The 17421-nt window shown below is 40.9% G+C and overlaps 2 annotated features.

Moving 5' to 3' along the window:
* Positions 1727-2318: an enhancer, noted in NCBI's record as "H3K4me1 hESC enhancer chr2:193372281-193372872 (GRCh37/hg19 assembly coordinates)". NCBI's record gives its function as "activates a minimal SCP1, AML or CMV promoter by ChIP-STARR-seq in naive H9 embryonic stem cells {active_cell/tissue: H9 hESC(naive)}" and the evidence as "EXISTENCE:reporter gene assay evidence [ECO:0000049][PMID:30033119]".
* Positions 2319-2909: an enhancer, noted in NCBI's record as "H3K4me1 hESC enhancer chr2:193372873-193373463 (GRCh37/hg19 assembly coordinates)". NCBI's record gives its function as "activates a minimal SCP1, AML or CMV promoter by ChIP-STARR-seq in naive H9 embryonic stem cells {active_cell/tissue: H9 hESC(naive)}" and the evidence as "EXISTENCE:reporter gene assay evidence [ECO:0000049][PMID:30033119]".

Here is a 17421-nt window from a genome sequence, read left to right on the forward strand (position 1 = left end):
CTATACTTGGTTATCACTCAAATATAAGGATAGATGACATTTATAGAAATGTCATGGTTGCTCCTTATAGTTAAACATCGTTAATGTGGCTGGGTAATTATTCTATAGTGTTTGGGCATGAACTAGTGATAAGCACATAGAAAATCAAGCCACAGTGAGTGTGATGGTTAATTTTAGGTTTCAACTTTATTGGGCTATAGATAGGTGTGTGTATTATATACATAATCTTATATACATATAAGATTATAATTGTCAGGCCTCTGAGCCTAAGCTAAGCCATCATATCCCCTGTGACCTGCACATACATATCCAGATGGCCGGTTCTTGCCTTAACTGATGACATTCCACCACAAAAGAAGTGAAAATGGCCTGTTGCTGCCTTAACTGATGACATTGTCTTGTGAAATTCCTTCTCCTGGCTCATCCTGGCTCAAAAGCTCCCCCACTGAGCACCTTGTGACCCTCCACGCTGCCTGCCAGAAAACAAGCCCCCTTTGACTGTAATTTTCCTTTATCTACCTAAATCCTATAAAACAGCCCCACCCTTATCTCCCTTTGCTGATTCTCTTTTTGGACTCAGCCCAGCTGCACCCATGTGAAATAAACAGCCATATTGCTCACACAAAGCCTGTTTGGTAGTCTCTTCACATGGACACACATGAAATTTGGTGCTGTGACTCGGATTGTGGGACCTCCCTTGGGAGATCAATCCCCTGTCCTCCTGCTCTTTGCTCTGTGAAAAAGATCCACCTACAACCTCAGGTCCTCAGACCCAACAGCCCAAGAAACATCTCACCAATTTTAAATCGGGTAAGCAGCCTCTTCTTCCTCTCTTCTCCAACCTCTCTCACCATCCCTCAACCACTTTCTCCTTTCCACTCTTCAATCTCTCCCTTCTCTTAATTTCAATTCCTTTCATGTTCTGGTAGAGACAAAGGAGACACGTTTTATCCGTGGACCCAAAACTCCGGTGCCGGTCACTGACTGGGAAGGCAGCCTTCCCTTGGTGTTTAATCATTGCAGGGATGCCTCTCTGATTATTCACCCACGTTTCAGAGGTGTCAGACCACTCAGGGACGCCTGCCTTAGTCCTTCACCCTTAGCAGCAAGTCCCGCTTTTCTGCGGGAGAGGCAAGTACCCCAAACCCTTCTCTCCATGTCTCTACCCCTTCTCCGCGTTTCTAGGGGGCAAGAAACCCCCAACCCCTTCTCCTTCACCCTTAGCGGCAAGTCCCGCTTTTCTGGGGGAGGGGCAAGTACCCCAACCTCGTATCTCTGTGCCCCGATCCCTTATTTCCATGCCCCCACCTCTTATAGCTCTGCACCCTGATCCCTTATTTCCATGTCCCGACCTCGTATCTCTGCGCCCCGAACCCTTTCCCGCTTTTCTGGAGGGTAAGAACCCCTGAAACGCTTCCTTCCGTGTGTCTACTCTCCCTTTTCTTTAAACTTGCCTCCTTCACTATAGGCAACCTTCTACCCTCCATTCCTCCTTCTTCTCCCTTAGCCTGTGTTCTAAAGAACATAAAACCTCTTCAACTCTCGCCTGACCTAAAACCTAAATGTCTTATTTTCTTCTACAATGCCACTTGACCCCAGTACAAACTCGACAGTGGTTCTAAATGGCCAGAAAATGGCACTTTCGATTTCTCCATCCTACAAGACCTAAATAATTTTTGTCAAAAAATAGGCAAATGGTCTCAGGTGCCTGACGTCCAGGCACTCTTTTACACATCAGTCACTCCCTAGTCTCTCTTCCCAATGCAACTAGTCCCAAATCTTCCTTCTTTCCCTCCTGCCTGTCCCCTCAGTCCCAACCCCAAGCATCACTGACCCTTTCTAATCTTCCTTTTCTACAGACCCATCTGACCTCTCCCCTCCTTGCCAGGCTGAGCTAGGTCCCAATTCTTCCTCAGCCTCTGCTCCTCCACCCTATAATCCTTTTATCACCTCCCCTCCTTGAGAGGTGACAGCGTGCTGGCAGTCCTCAGAGCCCTCGCTTGCTCTCGGCGCGTCCTCTGCCTGGGTTCCCACTTTGGCGACACTTGAGCCCTTCAGCCCACCGCTGCACTGTGGGAGCCCCTTCCTGGGCTGGCCAAGGCCAGAGCCAGCTCCCTCAGCTTGCAGGGAGGTGTGGAGGGATAGGCACGAGCGGGAACCGGGGCTACACGCAGTGCTTGTGGGCCAGCTGGAGTTCCAGGTGGGCATGGGCTTGGCGGGCCCCGCACTCGGAGCGGCCAGCTGGCCCTGCTGGCCCCGGGCATTGAGGGGCTTAGCACCCAGAACAGCGGCTGCGGAGGGTGTACTGGGTCCCCCAGCAGTGCCAGCCCACCAGCGCTGCACTCGATTTCTCACCGGGCCTTAGCTGCCTTCCCGCGGGGCAGGGCTCAGGATCTGCAGCCCGCCATGCCTGAGCCTCCCACCCCCTCCGTGGGCTCCTGTGCGGCCTGAGCCTCCTTGACAAGCGCCACCCCCTGCTCCATGGCGCCCAGTCCCATCGACCATCCAAGGGCTGAGGAGTGCGAGCGCACGGCACGAGACTGGCAGGCAGCTCCACCTGCAGCCCCAGTGCGGGATCCACTAGGTGAAGCCAGCTGGGCTCCTGAGTCTGGTGGGGACGTGGAAAGACTTTATGTCTAGCTCAGGGATTGTAAATACGCCAATCAGCACTCTGTATCTAGCTCAAGGTTTGTAAACACACCAATCAGCACCCTGTGTTTAGCTCAAGGTTTGTGAGTGCACCGATCGACACTCTGTATCTAGCTGCTCTGGTGGGGCCTTGGAGAACCTTTGTGTCGATACTCCGTATCTAACTAATCTGATGGGGACGTGGAGAACCTTTGTATCTAGCTCAGGGATTGTAAATGCACCAATCAGCACCCTGTCAAAACAGGCCACTGGGCTCTACCAATCAGCAGGATGTGGGTGGGGCCAGATAAGAGAATAAAAGCAGGCTGCCTGAGCCAGCATTGGCAACCCGCTCGGGTCCCCTTCCACACTGTGGAAGCTTTGTTCTTTTGCTCTTTGCAATAAATCTTGCTACTGCTCACTCTTTGGGTCCACACTGCTTTAATGAGCTGTAACACTCACCGCGAAGATCTGCAGCTTCACTCCTGAGCCCAGCAAGACCACGAGCTCACCGGGAGGAATGAACAACTCCAGACGCGCTGCCTTAAGAGCTACTCACCGCAAACGTCTGCAGCTTCACTCCTGAGCCAGCGAGACCACAAACCCACCAGAAGGAAGAAACTCCGAACACATCTGAACATCAGAAGGGACAGACTCCAGACGCGCCACCTTAAGACGTGTAACACTCACCGCGAGGGTCCACGGCTTCATTCTTGAAGTCAGTGAGACCAAGAACCCACCAATTCCGGACACATCCTCACAGCTGGTCCAGTTTACAGTTTTGTTCCGCGACTAGCCCTCCCCCACCTGCCCAGCAATTTCCTCTTAAAAAGGTGGCTGGAGCAAAAGGCACAGTCAAGGTTAATGCTCCTTTTTCTTTATCCAACCTCTCCCAAATTAGTTAGCATTCAGACTCTTTTTCATCAAATATAAAAAATCCAGCCCAGTTCATGGCTCGTTCGGCAGCAACCCTGAGACGCTTTACAGCCCTAGACCCTAAAAGGTCAAAAGGCCATCTTATTCTCAATATACATTTTATTACCCAATCTGCTCCTGACATTAAATAAAACTCCAAAAAATAGATTCTGGCCCTCAAACCCCACAACAGGACTTAATTAACCTAACCTTCAAGGTGTACAATAATACAGGCAGCCAAGTAGCAACATATTTCTGAGTTGCAATTCTTTGCCTCCACTGTGAGACAAACCCCAGCCACATCTCCAGCACACAAGAACTCCAAACGCCTGAACCGCAGCTGCCAAGGGTTCCTCCAGAACCTCCTCCCCCAGGAGCTTGCTACAAGTGCTGGAAATCTGGCCACTAGGCCAAGGAATGCCCACAGCCCAGGATTCCTCCTAAGCCATGTCCCATCTGTGTAGGACCCCACTGAAAATTGGACTGTTCAACTCACCTTTCAGCCACTTCCAGAGTCCCTGGAACTCTGGCCCAAAGCTCTCTGACTGACTCCTTCCCAGATCTTCTCGGCTTAGCAGCTGAAGACTGACACTGCCCGATCACCTCAGAAGCCTACAGGACCATCAGAGATACTCTTGGTAACTCTCACAGTGGAAAGTAAATCCGTCCCCTTCTTAATACGGAGGCTACCCACTCCACATTACCTTATTTTCAAAGGCCTGTTTCTCTTGCCTCCATAACTGTTGTGGGTATTGACGGCCAGGCTTCTAAACCTCTTAAAACTCCCCAACTCTGGTGCCAACTTAGACAATACTCTCTTAAGCACTCCTTTAATTATCCCCACCTGCCCAGTTCCCTTATTAGGCCGAGACACTTTAACTAAATTATCTGCTTCCCTGACTATTCCTGGACTACAGCAACACCTCATTGCCACCTTTTCCCCCAGTTCAAAGCCTCCTTCACATCCTCCCTTTGTATCCCCCGACCTTAACCCACAAGTATAAGACACCTCTACTCCTTCCTTGGTGACCGATCATGCACCCCTTACCATCCCATTAAAACCTAATCACTCTTACCCCGCTCAATGCCAATATCCCATCCCACAGCATGCTTTGAAAAGATTAAAGCCTGTTATCACTTGCCTGTTACAGCATGGCCTTTTAAAGCCTATAAACTCTCCTTACAATTCCCCCATTTTAGCTGTCCTAAAACCAGACAAGCCTTACAGGTTAGTTCAGGATCTGCGCCTTATCAACCAAATTGTTTTGCCTATCCACCCCGTGGTGCCAAACCCATATACTCTCCTATCCTCAATACCTCCCTCCACAATCCATTATTCTGTTCTGGATCTCAAACATGCTGTCTTTACTATTCCTTTGCACCCTTCACCCCAGCCTCTCTTTGCTTTCGCTTAGACTGACCCTGACACCCATTAGGCTCAGCAAATTACCTGGGCTGTACTGCCGCAAGGCTTCACAGACAGCCCCCATTACTTCAGTCAAGCCCAAATTTCATCCTCATCTGTTACCTATCTCGGCATAATTCTCATAAAAACACACGTGCTCTCCCTACTGATCGTGTCCGATTAATCTCCCGAAACCTCAATCCCTTACAAAATAACTCCTTTCCTTCCTAGGCATGGTTAGTGTGGTCAGAATTCTTACACAAGAGCCAGTACCGCACCCTGTAGCCTTTCTGTCCAAACAACTTGAGCTTACTGTTTTAGCCTAGCCGTCATGTCTCCGTGGAGTGGCTGCTGCCACCCTAATACTTTTAAAGGCCCTCAAAATCACAAACTATGCTCAACTCGCTCTCTACATTTCTCATAACTTCCAAAATCTATTTTCTTCCTCATACCTGACACATATACTTTCTGCTCCCCGGCTCCTTCAGCTGTACTCACTCTTTGTTAAGTCCCACAATTACCACTGTTCCTGGCCCGGACTTCAATCCGGCCTCCCACATTATTCCTGATACCACACCTGACCTCCATGACTCTATCTCTCTGATCCACCTGACATTCACCCCATTTCCCCATATTTCCTTCTTTCCTGTTCCTCACCCTGGTCACACTTGATTTATTGATGGCAGTTCCACCAGGCCTAATCGCCACACACCAGCAAAGGCAGGCTATGTATAGTACAAGCCACTAGCCTGCCTCTTAAAACCTCTCATTTCCTTTCCATGGTAGAAATCTATCCTCAAGGAAATAACTTCTCAGTGTTCCATCTGCTATTCTACTACTTATCAAGGATTATTCAGGCCCCCTCCCTTCCCTACACATCAGGCTTGAGGATTTGCCCCCACCCAGGACTGGCAAATTAGCTTTACTCAACATGCCCCGAGTCAGATAACTAAAATACCTCTTAGTCCAGGTAGACACTTTCACTAGATAAGTAGAGGCCTTTCCTACAGGGTCTGAGAATGCCACCGCAGCCATTTCTTCCCTTCTGTCAGACATAATTCCTCAGTTGAGCCTTTCCACCCCTATACAGTCTGATAACAGATCAGCCTTTATTAGTCAAATCAGCCAAGCATTTTTTCAGGCTCTTAGTATTCAGTGAAACCTTTATATCCCTTACAGTCCTCAGTCTTCAGGAAAAGTAGAACAGACCAATAGTCTATTAAAAACACACCTCACCAAGCTCAGCCACCAACTTAAAAAAGACTAGACAATACTTTTACCACTTTCACTTCTCAGAATTCAGGCCTGTCCTCGGAATGCTACAAGGTACAGCCCATTTAAGCTCCTGTATAGATGCTCCTTTTTATTAGGCCCCAGTCTCATTCCACACACCAGACCAATTTAGACTGTGCCCCAAAAAACTTGTCATCCCTACTATCTTCTGTCTAGTCATACTCCTATTCATCGTTCTCAACTACTCATACGTGCCCTGCTCTTGTTTACACTGCCAGTTTACACTGTTTCTCCAAGTCATCACAGCTGATATCTCCTGGTGCTATCCCCAAACCACCACTCTCAACTCTTAAAGTAAATAAATAATCTTTACTGGCAAGGCTATGCTGAATCTCCTTGGGCACTCTCTAATTAGATGTCCTAGGTCCTCCCAATTCTTAGTCCTTTAATGCCTGTTTTTCTCCTTCTCTTATTCTGTTTAGTTTTTCAATTCATACAAAACTGTATCCAGGCCATCACCAATAATTCTACAAGACAAATGTTTCTTCTAACAACCCCACAATATCACCCCTTACCAAAAAATCTTCCTTCGGCTTAATCTCTCCTACTGTAAGTTCCCACGCCACCCCTAATCTCACCCGAAGCAGCCCTGAGAAACATCGCCCATTATCTCTCCATACTACCCCCCAAAAATTTTTGCCGTCCCAACACTTTACCACTATTTCGTTTTATTTTTCCTATTAATACAAGAAGACAGGAATGTCAGGCCTCTGAGCCCAAGCTAAGCCATCATATCGCCTGTGACCTGCACATACACATCCTGATGGCCGGTTCCTACCTTAACTGATGACATTCCACCACAAAAGAAATGAAAATGGCCTGTTCCTGCCTTAACTGATGACATTGTCTTGTGAAATTCCTTCTCCTGGCTCATTCTGGCTCAAAAGCTCCCCTACTGAGCACCTTGTGACCCCCCCACTCTGCCCGCCAGAGAAGAAGCCCCCTTTGACTGTAATTTTCCTTTATCTACCCAAATCCTATAAAACAGCCCCACCCTTATCTCCCTTCGCTGACTCTCTTTTCGGACTCAGCCCGCCTGCACCCAGGTGAAATAAACAGCCATGTTGCTCACACAAAGCCTGTTTGGTGGTCTCTTCACAGGGACGCACATGAAAATAATATTATAAGAATAATATAGTATAATATATACTATAATACTATAATCATATACTATCATAAGAATACTAAAGAGTAATATATTCTATGTTTTCAAATATATATATATATATATATACATATGGTTCTACCAGTTCTTTTTCTCTGGAGGACCCTGACTTATTCAATAACAATACATAAAAAGATCAAGCAAATGCAGATGTAATTTTATCATTCTATATAGCTTATGTGTACATTTCTATATTCAATATTGTATAAGCAATACCTATTGAAATAACCAAAACTGTATATAACTTTATTGGTGAGTTACGGGGAGGTAAGTTTTTAAAATGACACAAAAATACTGTTACAGATTGAGTACTTTAGGAGCAGACAGATGATGTTTGGGTTGTAAGATGTGAACAAAAAGAGGAGCCATTAAGCCTGGGAAGGAGAAGTCACACCCTAATGCAGTCCCACAAAACCTCATTCAACTGAGTGAGTTTATCTGAAGTGTGTATTCTTTGTTAGAGTTGTCCCACAAATGGTGCAAATGGTGACTCCTTCATATTTCCACTTCTCTCAGCCACTGGGAGTGGCCTTCACGGAAAGAGTGTGTTTTCGAATAAGGCAGCTCTCTGCAGCTGATTCACATTCTGAAGCAATTGACAGGTGGAGGCTGTCTGACGACGAAACTCCCCACAGCTGGGAAGAAAATCCTTCCTAAGCAGCTATATATTATAAATAATATAGCTTACAGTATTTACATTTCAAATTGAAAATAATAAATATTTAAATGATAAAGTTATTATTTTAAAATGATGCTTGATTTTGAAATATTTTAATAGTCATATGTAGTTGCAGAGATAGTACAGAGATACAATCTACTCTTTACCCAGCTTCCCATGATAATATTATATGAAATCATAACCCAATATTAAACCCGGGAAATTGACAGTGGTACAATACTATCAAATGCAGACTGCTATTGTTTGAATGAGGGTGTCCGGTCCAAAATTCATGTTGAAAGTTAATCCCCTATGGAACAGTATTAAGATGTGTAGTTTTTAGGAGCTGATTAAGTCATAAGGGCTTCATTTTCATTAATGGCATCTGATGCCCTTATAAAAGGGCTTAGCAGAGGAAGTTCACCCCCTTTTTGTTTCTTCTGTCCGTTTCACCATGTGAGGAAAGTGTTCTTCCCCTCTGGAGGCAAGATGTCTTCTTGGAGGTAGACAGTAGCCCCATGAAACAATAAACCTGCTGGCATCTCGATCTTGGACTTTCCAACCTCCACAAATATAATAAATTAATTTCTATTGTTTACAAATTATCCAGTGTTGATATTTTGTTATAGCAGCGCAAAAAGAGTAAGACATAGGCTTAATTCAGATTTCACCAGTGTACACCTGTACTTTGTGTGTGTGTGTGTGTGTGTGCATGCGTTTAGTTTCAGAAAATTCTTATCACATGTACGGATCTAAGTAACCATCAATACAATTGGAATGTAGAACCATTCTAGCATCACAGGGAAACTCTGTCATATTATTTCTTAATAATCACCCACTCTTCCCCCAACCCTGATTCCCAGCAACAACAAATATTTTCTCCATCCCTCCATCCCCAACAATTTAGGGATTGTGGAATTCTACCTTACGTAACTCCTTAAGATTGCCCTGTCCCTTACTCTCCTCTTTGAGAGTCATCCAAATTATGGCATTAACAATTGTATTGAGAATTTCTTTTGTTGCTGAGTAGTATTATATCGTAAAGATGTATCAACTTGAAGGAAATTTGGGTTGTTTCCAGTTTTCAGCTATTATAAATAAGGTTATTATGAACATTCGTGTACAAGAGTTTGTGGGAAAATAAGTTTTCATAATTATCTCAAAATGAAAATAACCAATATTCATTGATTGATAAATGGATAAACAAATTGTTTCATATCCATACAATGGAATACTACTTAGTAATAAGAATAAAAGGACTCCTGATACCTCCAAAACTTTAAATAAATTTTAAGCATTTTATGTTAAGAGAAAAGGGCTACAAATAAAAGCTATCGTATATGAATTCTATTTCAGGTAGAGGACTTTTAAAGGAAAGACTAGATTAGTTTCAACTCTATAATTGATTGATAAAGTCCACTTTGAGCTATGATCCAGTGGCAGATAATATTGTCGGAGTTCTTAATGGGCATCTCTAATAAATCTGAGTGAGGTACAGAAAGTTTTATAACTGAGGTAAGACAACCATAATGGTCCTCTCCTTCTGGTAGGGGCAGGAGAGGGGCAGGATTCAGGGTGTTGTGTTGATGAATACAAACGTTAAAGAGAGAGAGTAACTGCATCCTGTAAAAGGGTGATCAGCTGGCCGAAAAGCGTTGTGCGTTCTCAGTCACTAGCAATATTTCCACTGCATGAGAAACCATGAGGTCAAGTGTGGAGACTAGAAAAAATTTAGCAGAAGCTATCTTTGATTCAGAATTTTATTTGGAGGCCTCTGCATACATACTGCAGAAAATGCTGCCCATTGGGCCTGGCAAATTATTTTCTTTCTTTTCTAAAGATTCTCTGGAATGAGCAATTTTGTTCAAATCAAGTGTTCCCCGGAGTTGCTAGTGTAGGCCCAAATCATCCTTGGTAGAATTATGCCATTTAGAAAGAGAAGCACAAAATTTAGGATTGTAATGAATGTCCAAGTAAGAGCAGGGTTTTTTTTTTTGTTTGTTTGTTTGTTTTTTTCTGGAAGAGGAAAAGATTTAGATGTATACAACCCCATGAGAGCTGGCAAAGGTCAATAGGAATGTAAGGCTTATGCACTTTGTGTCTCAGGCCCCCAACCCAACAATTTTTACACCCCACCAGCAGGTAGAAACCTCTCTGCCGATGAAAACTCAGCTCTCAGGACACAAATTGTGGATGAAGGAGAACCTCATCCAGTTTCATTGATGACTCATACAAAAGTTTGTCAAGTGAATGCCAGTCCAAATGTAACCATCTGTCAAGCTAGCTTGAACAATGGGCTGATACGTACTTTCTACCCTATAATATTCCCTATTATGACAAACACATGATTGGATACCCCAACACAAAACGATAACACAAAAGACAGCAAATGAGGTATAAAGGAGTAGCCTGATTCTACCAAAGATGCCAAACAAATGGCAGCCAATAACAAAACCCAGGTTCTAAACTTAAAAAATAGTCAAGTATATCAATACAAAGAAAGCAGAGTTCAGACGCAGTGCTGAGTTACAATATCAGTGCAGACTCCAGCAGAAAGACACAAGGGGCCTTGGAGAGTATGCACCTGATTGAAGGCTGGGCTCTGCTACCATGCTGTCTCCATCGGACCTCCAGGAAAACACTTGAAATAAATGGAGATGACCCAACGGAAAATGTAAGAGCCCATTTATTCAGATTTCACCACAGCAAGAGAGTCAGCCATCATCACTTGATTTTGGCAGAGACTCAAAGGCAGACAGGGGAACACAGGGAAGCCTTCAGGTAATCCCTGATTGGAGGTTTGGGGCATGTAGAAATTGGAGATGGGGTAACTAGAAGTGGGTATCCTATATGATTGGTTAAGGGAGCATATTTGGCTCTGTCTGCTCCTATCTTTACAGTGGAGATGGGAATTAGAGAAAAATGTTTGTTATTAATTGAGTTCTGTCTGTTTTGGGCCAATTGCTGCAGAGTTTGTGGTTTACCTTTCTGGACTGTTTGCTACAGATTGTGGGTCAGAGTTCTATTTTTATATATGGTATTTTTATATATGGTTTGACTATTGTCCCTTAGTATATTCAATATTTCAGGCACTTGCTAAGAACTTTGAGGTGGGGGAAAATGATAAGTTGAAAAGAGCAGGAGGGAAATATGTTAATTGTAGCTCAACATACCTGACTTTAACAAATTAAATTATATATGTTAGTTTTATGATTGTCTCCAGAAAATTTCAACAGTTTTTATGTGAGAATTGAACTGCATACAAATTTTCATTCAGTGTCAGTAAAATGGAAGGAGAGAGAGTTGAAGGAGTCAAAAGAAATTGCAAAGTGTGGGTGTCCTATACCATAGAATCAAGGCTGATCTAAGAGGAAAGTTAATCGAAGAAGGAATTGATGAGTGGTATAAAAATGGTGGGGTCAAGGACCTCAATGAGAAAAAAGAATTTCATCGATGAAACTCATCGAGCCAGTGAGCCTGAAGGAAGCCAGTGATGGTCAGGTGGATGTTTGAAAATTATGATTTCACAGATGATGCAGTTTCTACTAGTGAGAAATTCTAGGTCTGGCTATAGAATAGTTTAAAAATTGGTGAAAATAAAAAGTCCAAGCAACTGATCAGTCATGGTGAAGGATGGATCAAACATGTAGATGGTAGGGGCAACGTGAATGATACAGAAGTTTCAGTGGAGTGGAAGAATGAAATGCATTTGCTAAAGTTATTAATAAGTAATGGGGAATATCACTAGGTTGGTGATGAACAGGAACAGGAAGTGGGAGAGGTAATGGGGTCAAATTGCACAAGGCTAAAAGGAAAATAATTTTTTGCTTCATTTTAAGAAGTGAGATAGATAGAATTTTGAAACGGAAGTTACATCGATTAGTGCGCAGGAAACCCATCAACTTACTACCCAATCTTGGCATATCAAGAGTGTTTGAGAATCAGCAGCTTCTAATGAAAAAGGCTGTGCTAGGGATGTAGTGTCTCAGGAGATAGTCAAATTTTAGTTCCAGCAAAAAGCTGTGATAGGAAAGAGGTTGAGGGTATATGGGAGCTATTGAAAAGAACTGGGAGACTCATGTGAGTGTCAACTGCCTCCCCGTATTATTTGTGGTGCTGGTACCAACATTCCTTATGGTGCTTTGCTTTCTGCCTGTCTAGCATCTGTCCTCCTCATTGGTCATCTCTGGCTTCCTTGGCTATTTGTCAATTCACCTTAATCTAATGTACTCAACTCATCCCCCCTTCTTCTGCCACCAGAGACATGTATCTAACCATTTCATGGGAGGAAAGAAAGACAAGAAGGAAGAGAAGGAGGAAGCAATGAAGAAAACAATGAGCAATATTTTCTCCCTCATTTTAGGTTACCAGTCTTTTCCCCACTTCTCTTCTAGATCACTCCTGTTCTGTGCTTTTGACCAGGCAGTGGAACTATTGCTTTGTTCTTTCCTTATGTCATTCATGCATCTTAGGTGTGCTGTTAGTTACGTAACATATGCAAAAATCTACCAATAGGACACTATAAGATATTTAAACATGTTGCTTAAATGTTTATTACTATTATAAAAAAGGTAAAAGCATTGACATAAAAGTGGCATTTTTTCCTAATAAAATCACAAATTGTCCTGAAAGAATTTTTTTCTCTTTCTAAATATATTTTGGAGATTTAGGCTTCTCTGTCAAATAACTGAAATGCTTTTGAACCATTATTTGTATCATTTTCCCTTTCCCCCAAATCCCAGAATGTTAACGCAAAAGTAAATTTTGATAGGCAAAACAAGGATTAGAAAATATGAACAGAAGTTATATCTGGCTGCTTAGCTTGCTGGGGATATAATAGCAATTTGAGGCTTACATACTTATTGTACACACATGACCTTTACAATGCTATGGTAAACTCAATATCACAGTTGCTTATTAGTACACTAGTAGTAGAAATCTTCTAATATGAATGAATGTGTGTATTTTCAATATTCAGGGTATTAGGAGAGCTTTTATTCTAGTCTCTGGAAATACAGCTTTCCATATCTTAAGTAAATTTTATTTCTAACTCTACCAGGAGCAAGCATAATTTTTATAAAACAAACTAAACAAACTGAAGTTCCTTTAACTCAACCCAGGCAGCCTGGCCACACACACACACACACACACACACACACACACACACACACACAAAATCAAACTCAGATACTTTCTCTACTACTTTCAGTGGATCTGAAACCATAATTGATTTCTGCAAAAACTATTATTTTAATGCTTTACTACTCGTTTTATTACTGATTATTACACTGAAAAGAAAGAAAGCAAGAAATAAAAGAAGAAAAAGGGAAGGAAGAAAGAAAGAAAGGAAACAGCTGATGATGTGTAAGCAAACAAAGATATTCAGTCCCTTTCTTATAATATTCGTTTTTTAAGCTTATCTGTAATTAACTGCTTGTGGAACATAACTGAATTGAATGTTTACTAGTTAATTCAAAACCATTTAATCTATATTGGGAATATTAAAATGCAATGGATAATTGCTGGTTATCACAGCTGAAACAAATTAAAATGTCAGCCCCATTGATTCTTTTTTTTTTTTTTTTTTTTGCTAATGTGAATAAAAACAGAAACACCAGCATGAGCATGTATATACATATAACCTCATATATATCTCTGCAAGAAATTTATTTGGGGCCATGAACAGTGGTTCACTCTAATCCCAGCACTTTGGGAGGTTGAGGCATGATACAGGAGGATCACTTGAGCCCACCAGTTAGACACCAGCCTGTATAACACAATGGGACCCTACCTCTATGAGAGAGAGAAACGTATTTGGTGCTATCATGTTCCTCATTCTTAGATGCATCCCAAAGATGACTAACCAGCTAACTAAAGTGCACTTTATTATTCACACTAAAGGAGAATGAAAAACACAAGATGATTTAAAAAATCCCTTTGGGATTATACCCTTGCTCCATGCCAACAGTTCATTCTGACTATAAAGTGCAGAAAAGTTATCTGGGATTATAGGTTTTTAGTTATTTATTGTAACAGCTTAAAAGGTTGAGGTAATTCTTAACTAGATATTTAAATTCTCATAAAAAAATAACTTAGTTACTTAGTATTGCTATTTTTCAGTGACTAAAAACTTTAGTCAAAGAATAACATCTAATAAGTTGCCTAGTCTGGGAAGCAAAACTTAAAAAATAAAACAATTTCAGAAGCTATGCTTATACCATAAAAGTCACATGTTCATAAAAATCACAAAACTATATATAATAGTAAATGAGTGTCATCCCATTAAACTTCCATTCATGAATTACATGATACGTTATTTTATTTTGAGATGTAACCCCTTCATAAGCAGTTTAGTCAGTTGGTTTCACACTGTAACATCTTGTCAGTGCATGACCGATGCTCAGTGCCAGCCCTTAAAAATATTAATACCCCTTTAATTGAATGAGTTTAGATATGTACAATTTCTAAATTACCTTGGGTTTGTCCTGCCTAGATTATTATGTCATTTACAGAAGCTATCATTTCTCTACTAAAATCTAATAGTGTACACTTTCCATAATCTTGCTCAGATTACTCACCCAGGGCTGACAAATTGAGTGGCATCTAATGTTAACACATTTCTTCAAGAGAAATAATAACCAAAATATTATTTGAGACTACTGTCTTCTATGCACTGCTGTCTCTCAATTTCCTCTCACTTTTCTGTTTGCCTCTCACTTCTCTACTCCACTACCCCAGGATTCTTAATCTCCCACAAAAAGAGCAATCTCACTTTTAGCTGTGCTTTGGATTCTCTTATTTAATTTTAGGGAGCCATCACTCCTCACAGAACTTTTTCCCACTTTTGCTAATCTCCATTCTAAACTCACTCCATTGCATTTTTAGTACTCACAGTGAATTACATAAGCAGAGAATGATTCCTTTACCTTCTTGCCTTGATTCCTAGAAACCTGGCCAAAAGAACTAAGACACTGTCCTTTAAATCTCACACACTCCTTGCCAGAAGTGGCTTACTTCTGGTTCCACTTCATTACTTCTCTGTTCAGTCTTTCCTCCGTGGAAACTGTTAAATATGGTTTTGACATTCTTTTTGCATTTCTGTGTTTTATTAATCCATATTCACTGCCTATTTTAGTGCCTGGCTTCCAGTTTCCTCAAATTACTTTGTACAGTATGGGCACTTCAACAATCATATTGATGACAAATCTAACCCACTAATTTAAAAGATTTTTTTAACCTTTCTTACTCTAGAACAAGGGTAGGAAAACAACACATATTTAGGATTATATTTCTTCTGTTAATTTTCTGAAACAATTCAGCCTCCCTGATTATTTACTATTCTCTCAGCATGCCATGGAACTTCACACCTCTGTGCCTTTGTTTATGCTATTTTCTTGATCTGAAATATACTTCCTGTGATATAACCACTTAATTCAAATGTGACTACAGTTCTTTCTGTTGTTGTTGTTGAGACAATGTCTCGCTTTGTTGCCCAGGCTGGAGCACAGTGGTGCAATCTCGGCTCACTGCAACCTCTCCCTCCGAGGTTCAAGTGATTCTCCTGCCTCAGCCTCCCAAGTAGCTGGGATTACAGGCTTGTGCCACCAAGCCTGGCTAATTTTTTTGTATTGTTAGTAGAAATGGGGTTTCATCACATTGGCCAGGCTGGTCTTGAACTCCTGGTCTCAAGTGATTCACTTGCCTTGGTCTCCCAAAGTGGTGGGATTACAGGCGTGAGCCACCGCGCCCAGCCCAAATGTGACTATAAGTCTTTATCTTACCTTGTTGGCAATGCTGAAGTAGTGGGAGATTTTTTAAGAGTAGTGATGAAATAATTTTTTAGCTTTGAATCCCCAAATCAGTGCCTAGAAAGTCATAATCCCTCAATTAATGTTTACTGAATTGAATGTGTTTGAACTAACTTGAGTTAAATACATAAGGAAACATTCTAAATAAAACAAGATCATAGATCAGAACTTCTGTTTTCATTTCTCCATGCTTGGCTCTCCCTGAAATCCTAAGAAAGGAGATTCAATATAATTTAATCATAAAATATGAGAAATTCCAAATATTATTACAAATCAAAAGTTAATCAATCAGTAGGCAGCCTTATATTGCTCTAACTGGATCCCAGTCTTAATGTCATTACACATCCTCTAGGTATACAATTTTATGGATAAAATTCTTTCCATAGTGAGTGATTTTACTGCATTTGTTATGTTCAGTGGCTATCAGATTGAAAACTATATTTTGGGGATCTGGTTTTCTTATCAACTGGCAATGATAAATAAATAGACTATTTTTTTTTTCTGTTTCAAAATTCAAGTCTGCAGTTGAATACCAAAAAAAAAAAAAATCCCACTTTCTTTCAGAGAATTTCAAATCCTTTACATGTAGTGAATGACCCCATCAGTCTTTGCCAGAGTGAGAAGTTCTCACTCTGTGAGACAACTGTGAAAAACTGGGAAGTAATATTAGAAAATAGATATGGTATTCTGGCTATTTTGTAGAAATGTTTTAGAAAGATTTTTATGACTAAGAAATCATAACGATCAGGGTAATACTTTCTTCAGTTGTCAAAGTTATCATCAGATCAAAGAAGTCCAAAAATTTATTCAGGGAGCAGAGGGATTTAATTCCATTCAGGAATGATATAACAGTAAGATTTATCATTGTGAAAGTAATACAAGTCATGTATAGAAAGAGAAAAATATATAGAGACTATACATAACAACTCATTAATGTGCAATCCTTTTATGTTTTTCCCTTTCTATTTCTCCTAAAGTGCTGATTGATTTCCTTAAACCCATTTCTTGTTTTGTCCCTATAATTGCCAATGGCACATATATGAGGCAATTGGCCAAAATTAAAGGCAGTACAAAGTCACAGAAAACATGAGAACTAATTGACAATGATGAACGCAGAGAATTTAACCACATATCATTTGCATGAGACTGTGATACAGTATTATTATGTGATAAGAATTTTTCTAAAATATTATCTAAAAGCACATAGTTATTTGATGTTGTAATCAGAACTAGTACTTATATTTTTACTATTATTCTTTCATCTTGTTCTATTCAACAGAGTACCAACAACAAAATTAAATTAAGTATTGTACCAAGTAAACTACTATAATATTTTGTGTAAAAATTATCAAGGATTTCTATAATTAAGAATTTCTATAATAATTAGATACCACATATGTTGTAGCAATAAAATTTTTAGCAATAAGTTCAACTGGTTATATGTATTAAAAACTTTAGTGGAAAAATGTCCAAATTATTCCATGGAAAGATATATTTTCCTCAATTATCAGTAAGTTATTTTTTTATTTTGTATTCTCATTGTTTTATC

Source organism: Homo sapiens, chromosome 2, assembly GCF_000001405.40.
Source record: "Homo sapiens chromosome 2, GRCh38.p14 Primary Assembly".
In the NCBI taxonomy this organism is placed as follows: domain Eukaryota; kingdom Metazoa; phylum Chordata; class Mammalia; order Primates; family Hominidae; genus Homo; species Homo sapiens.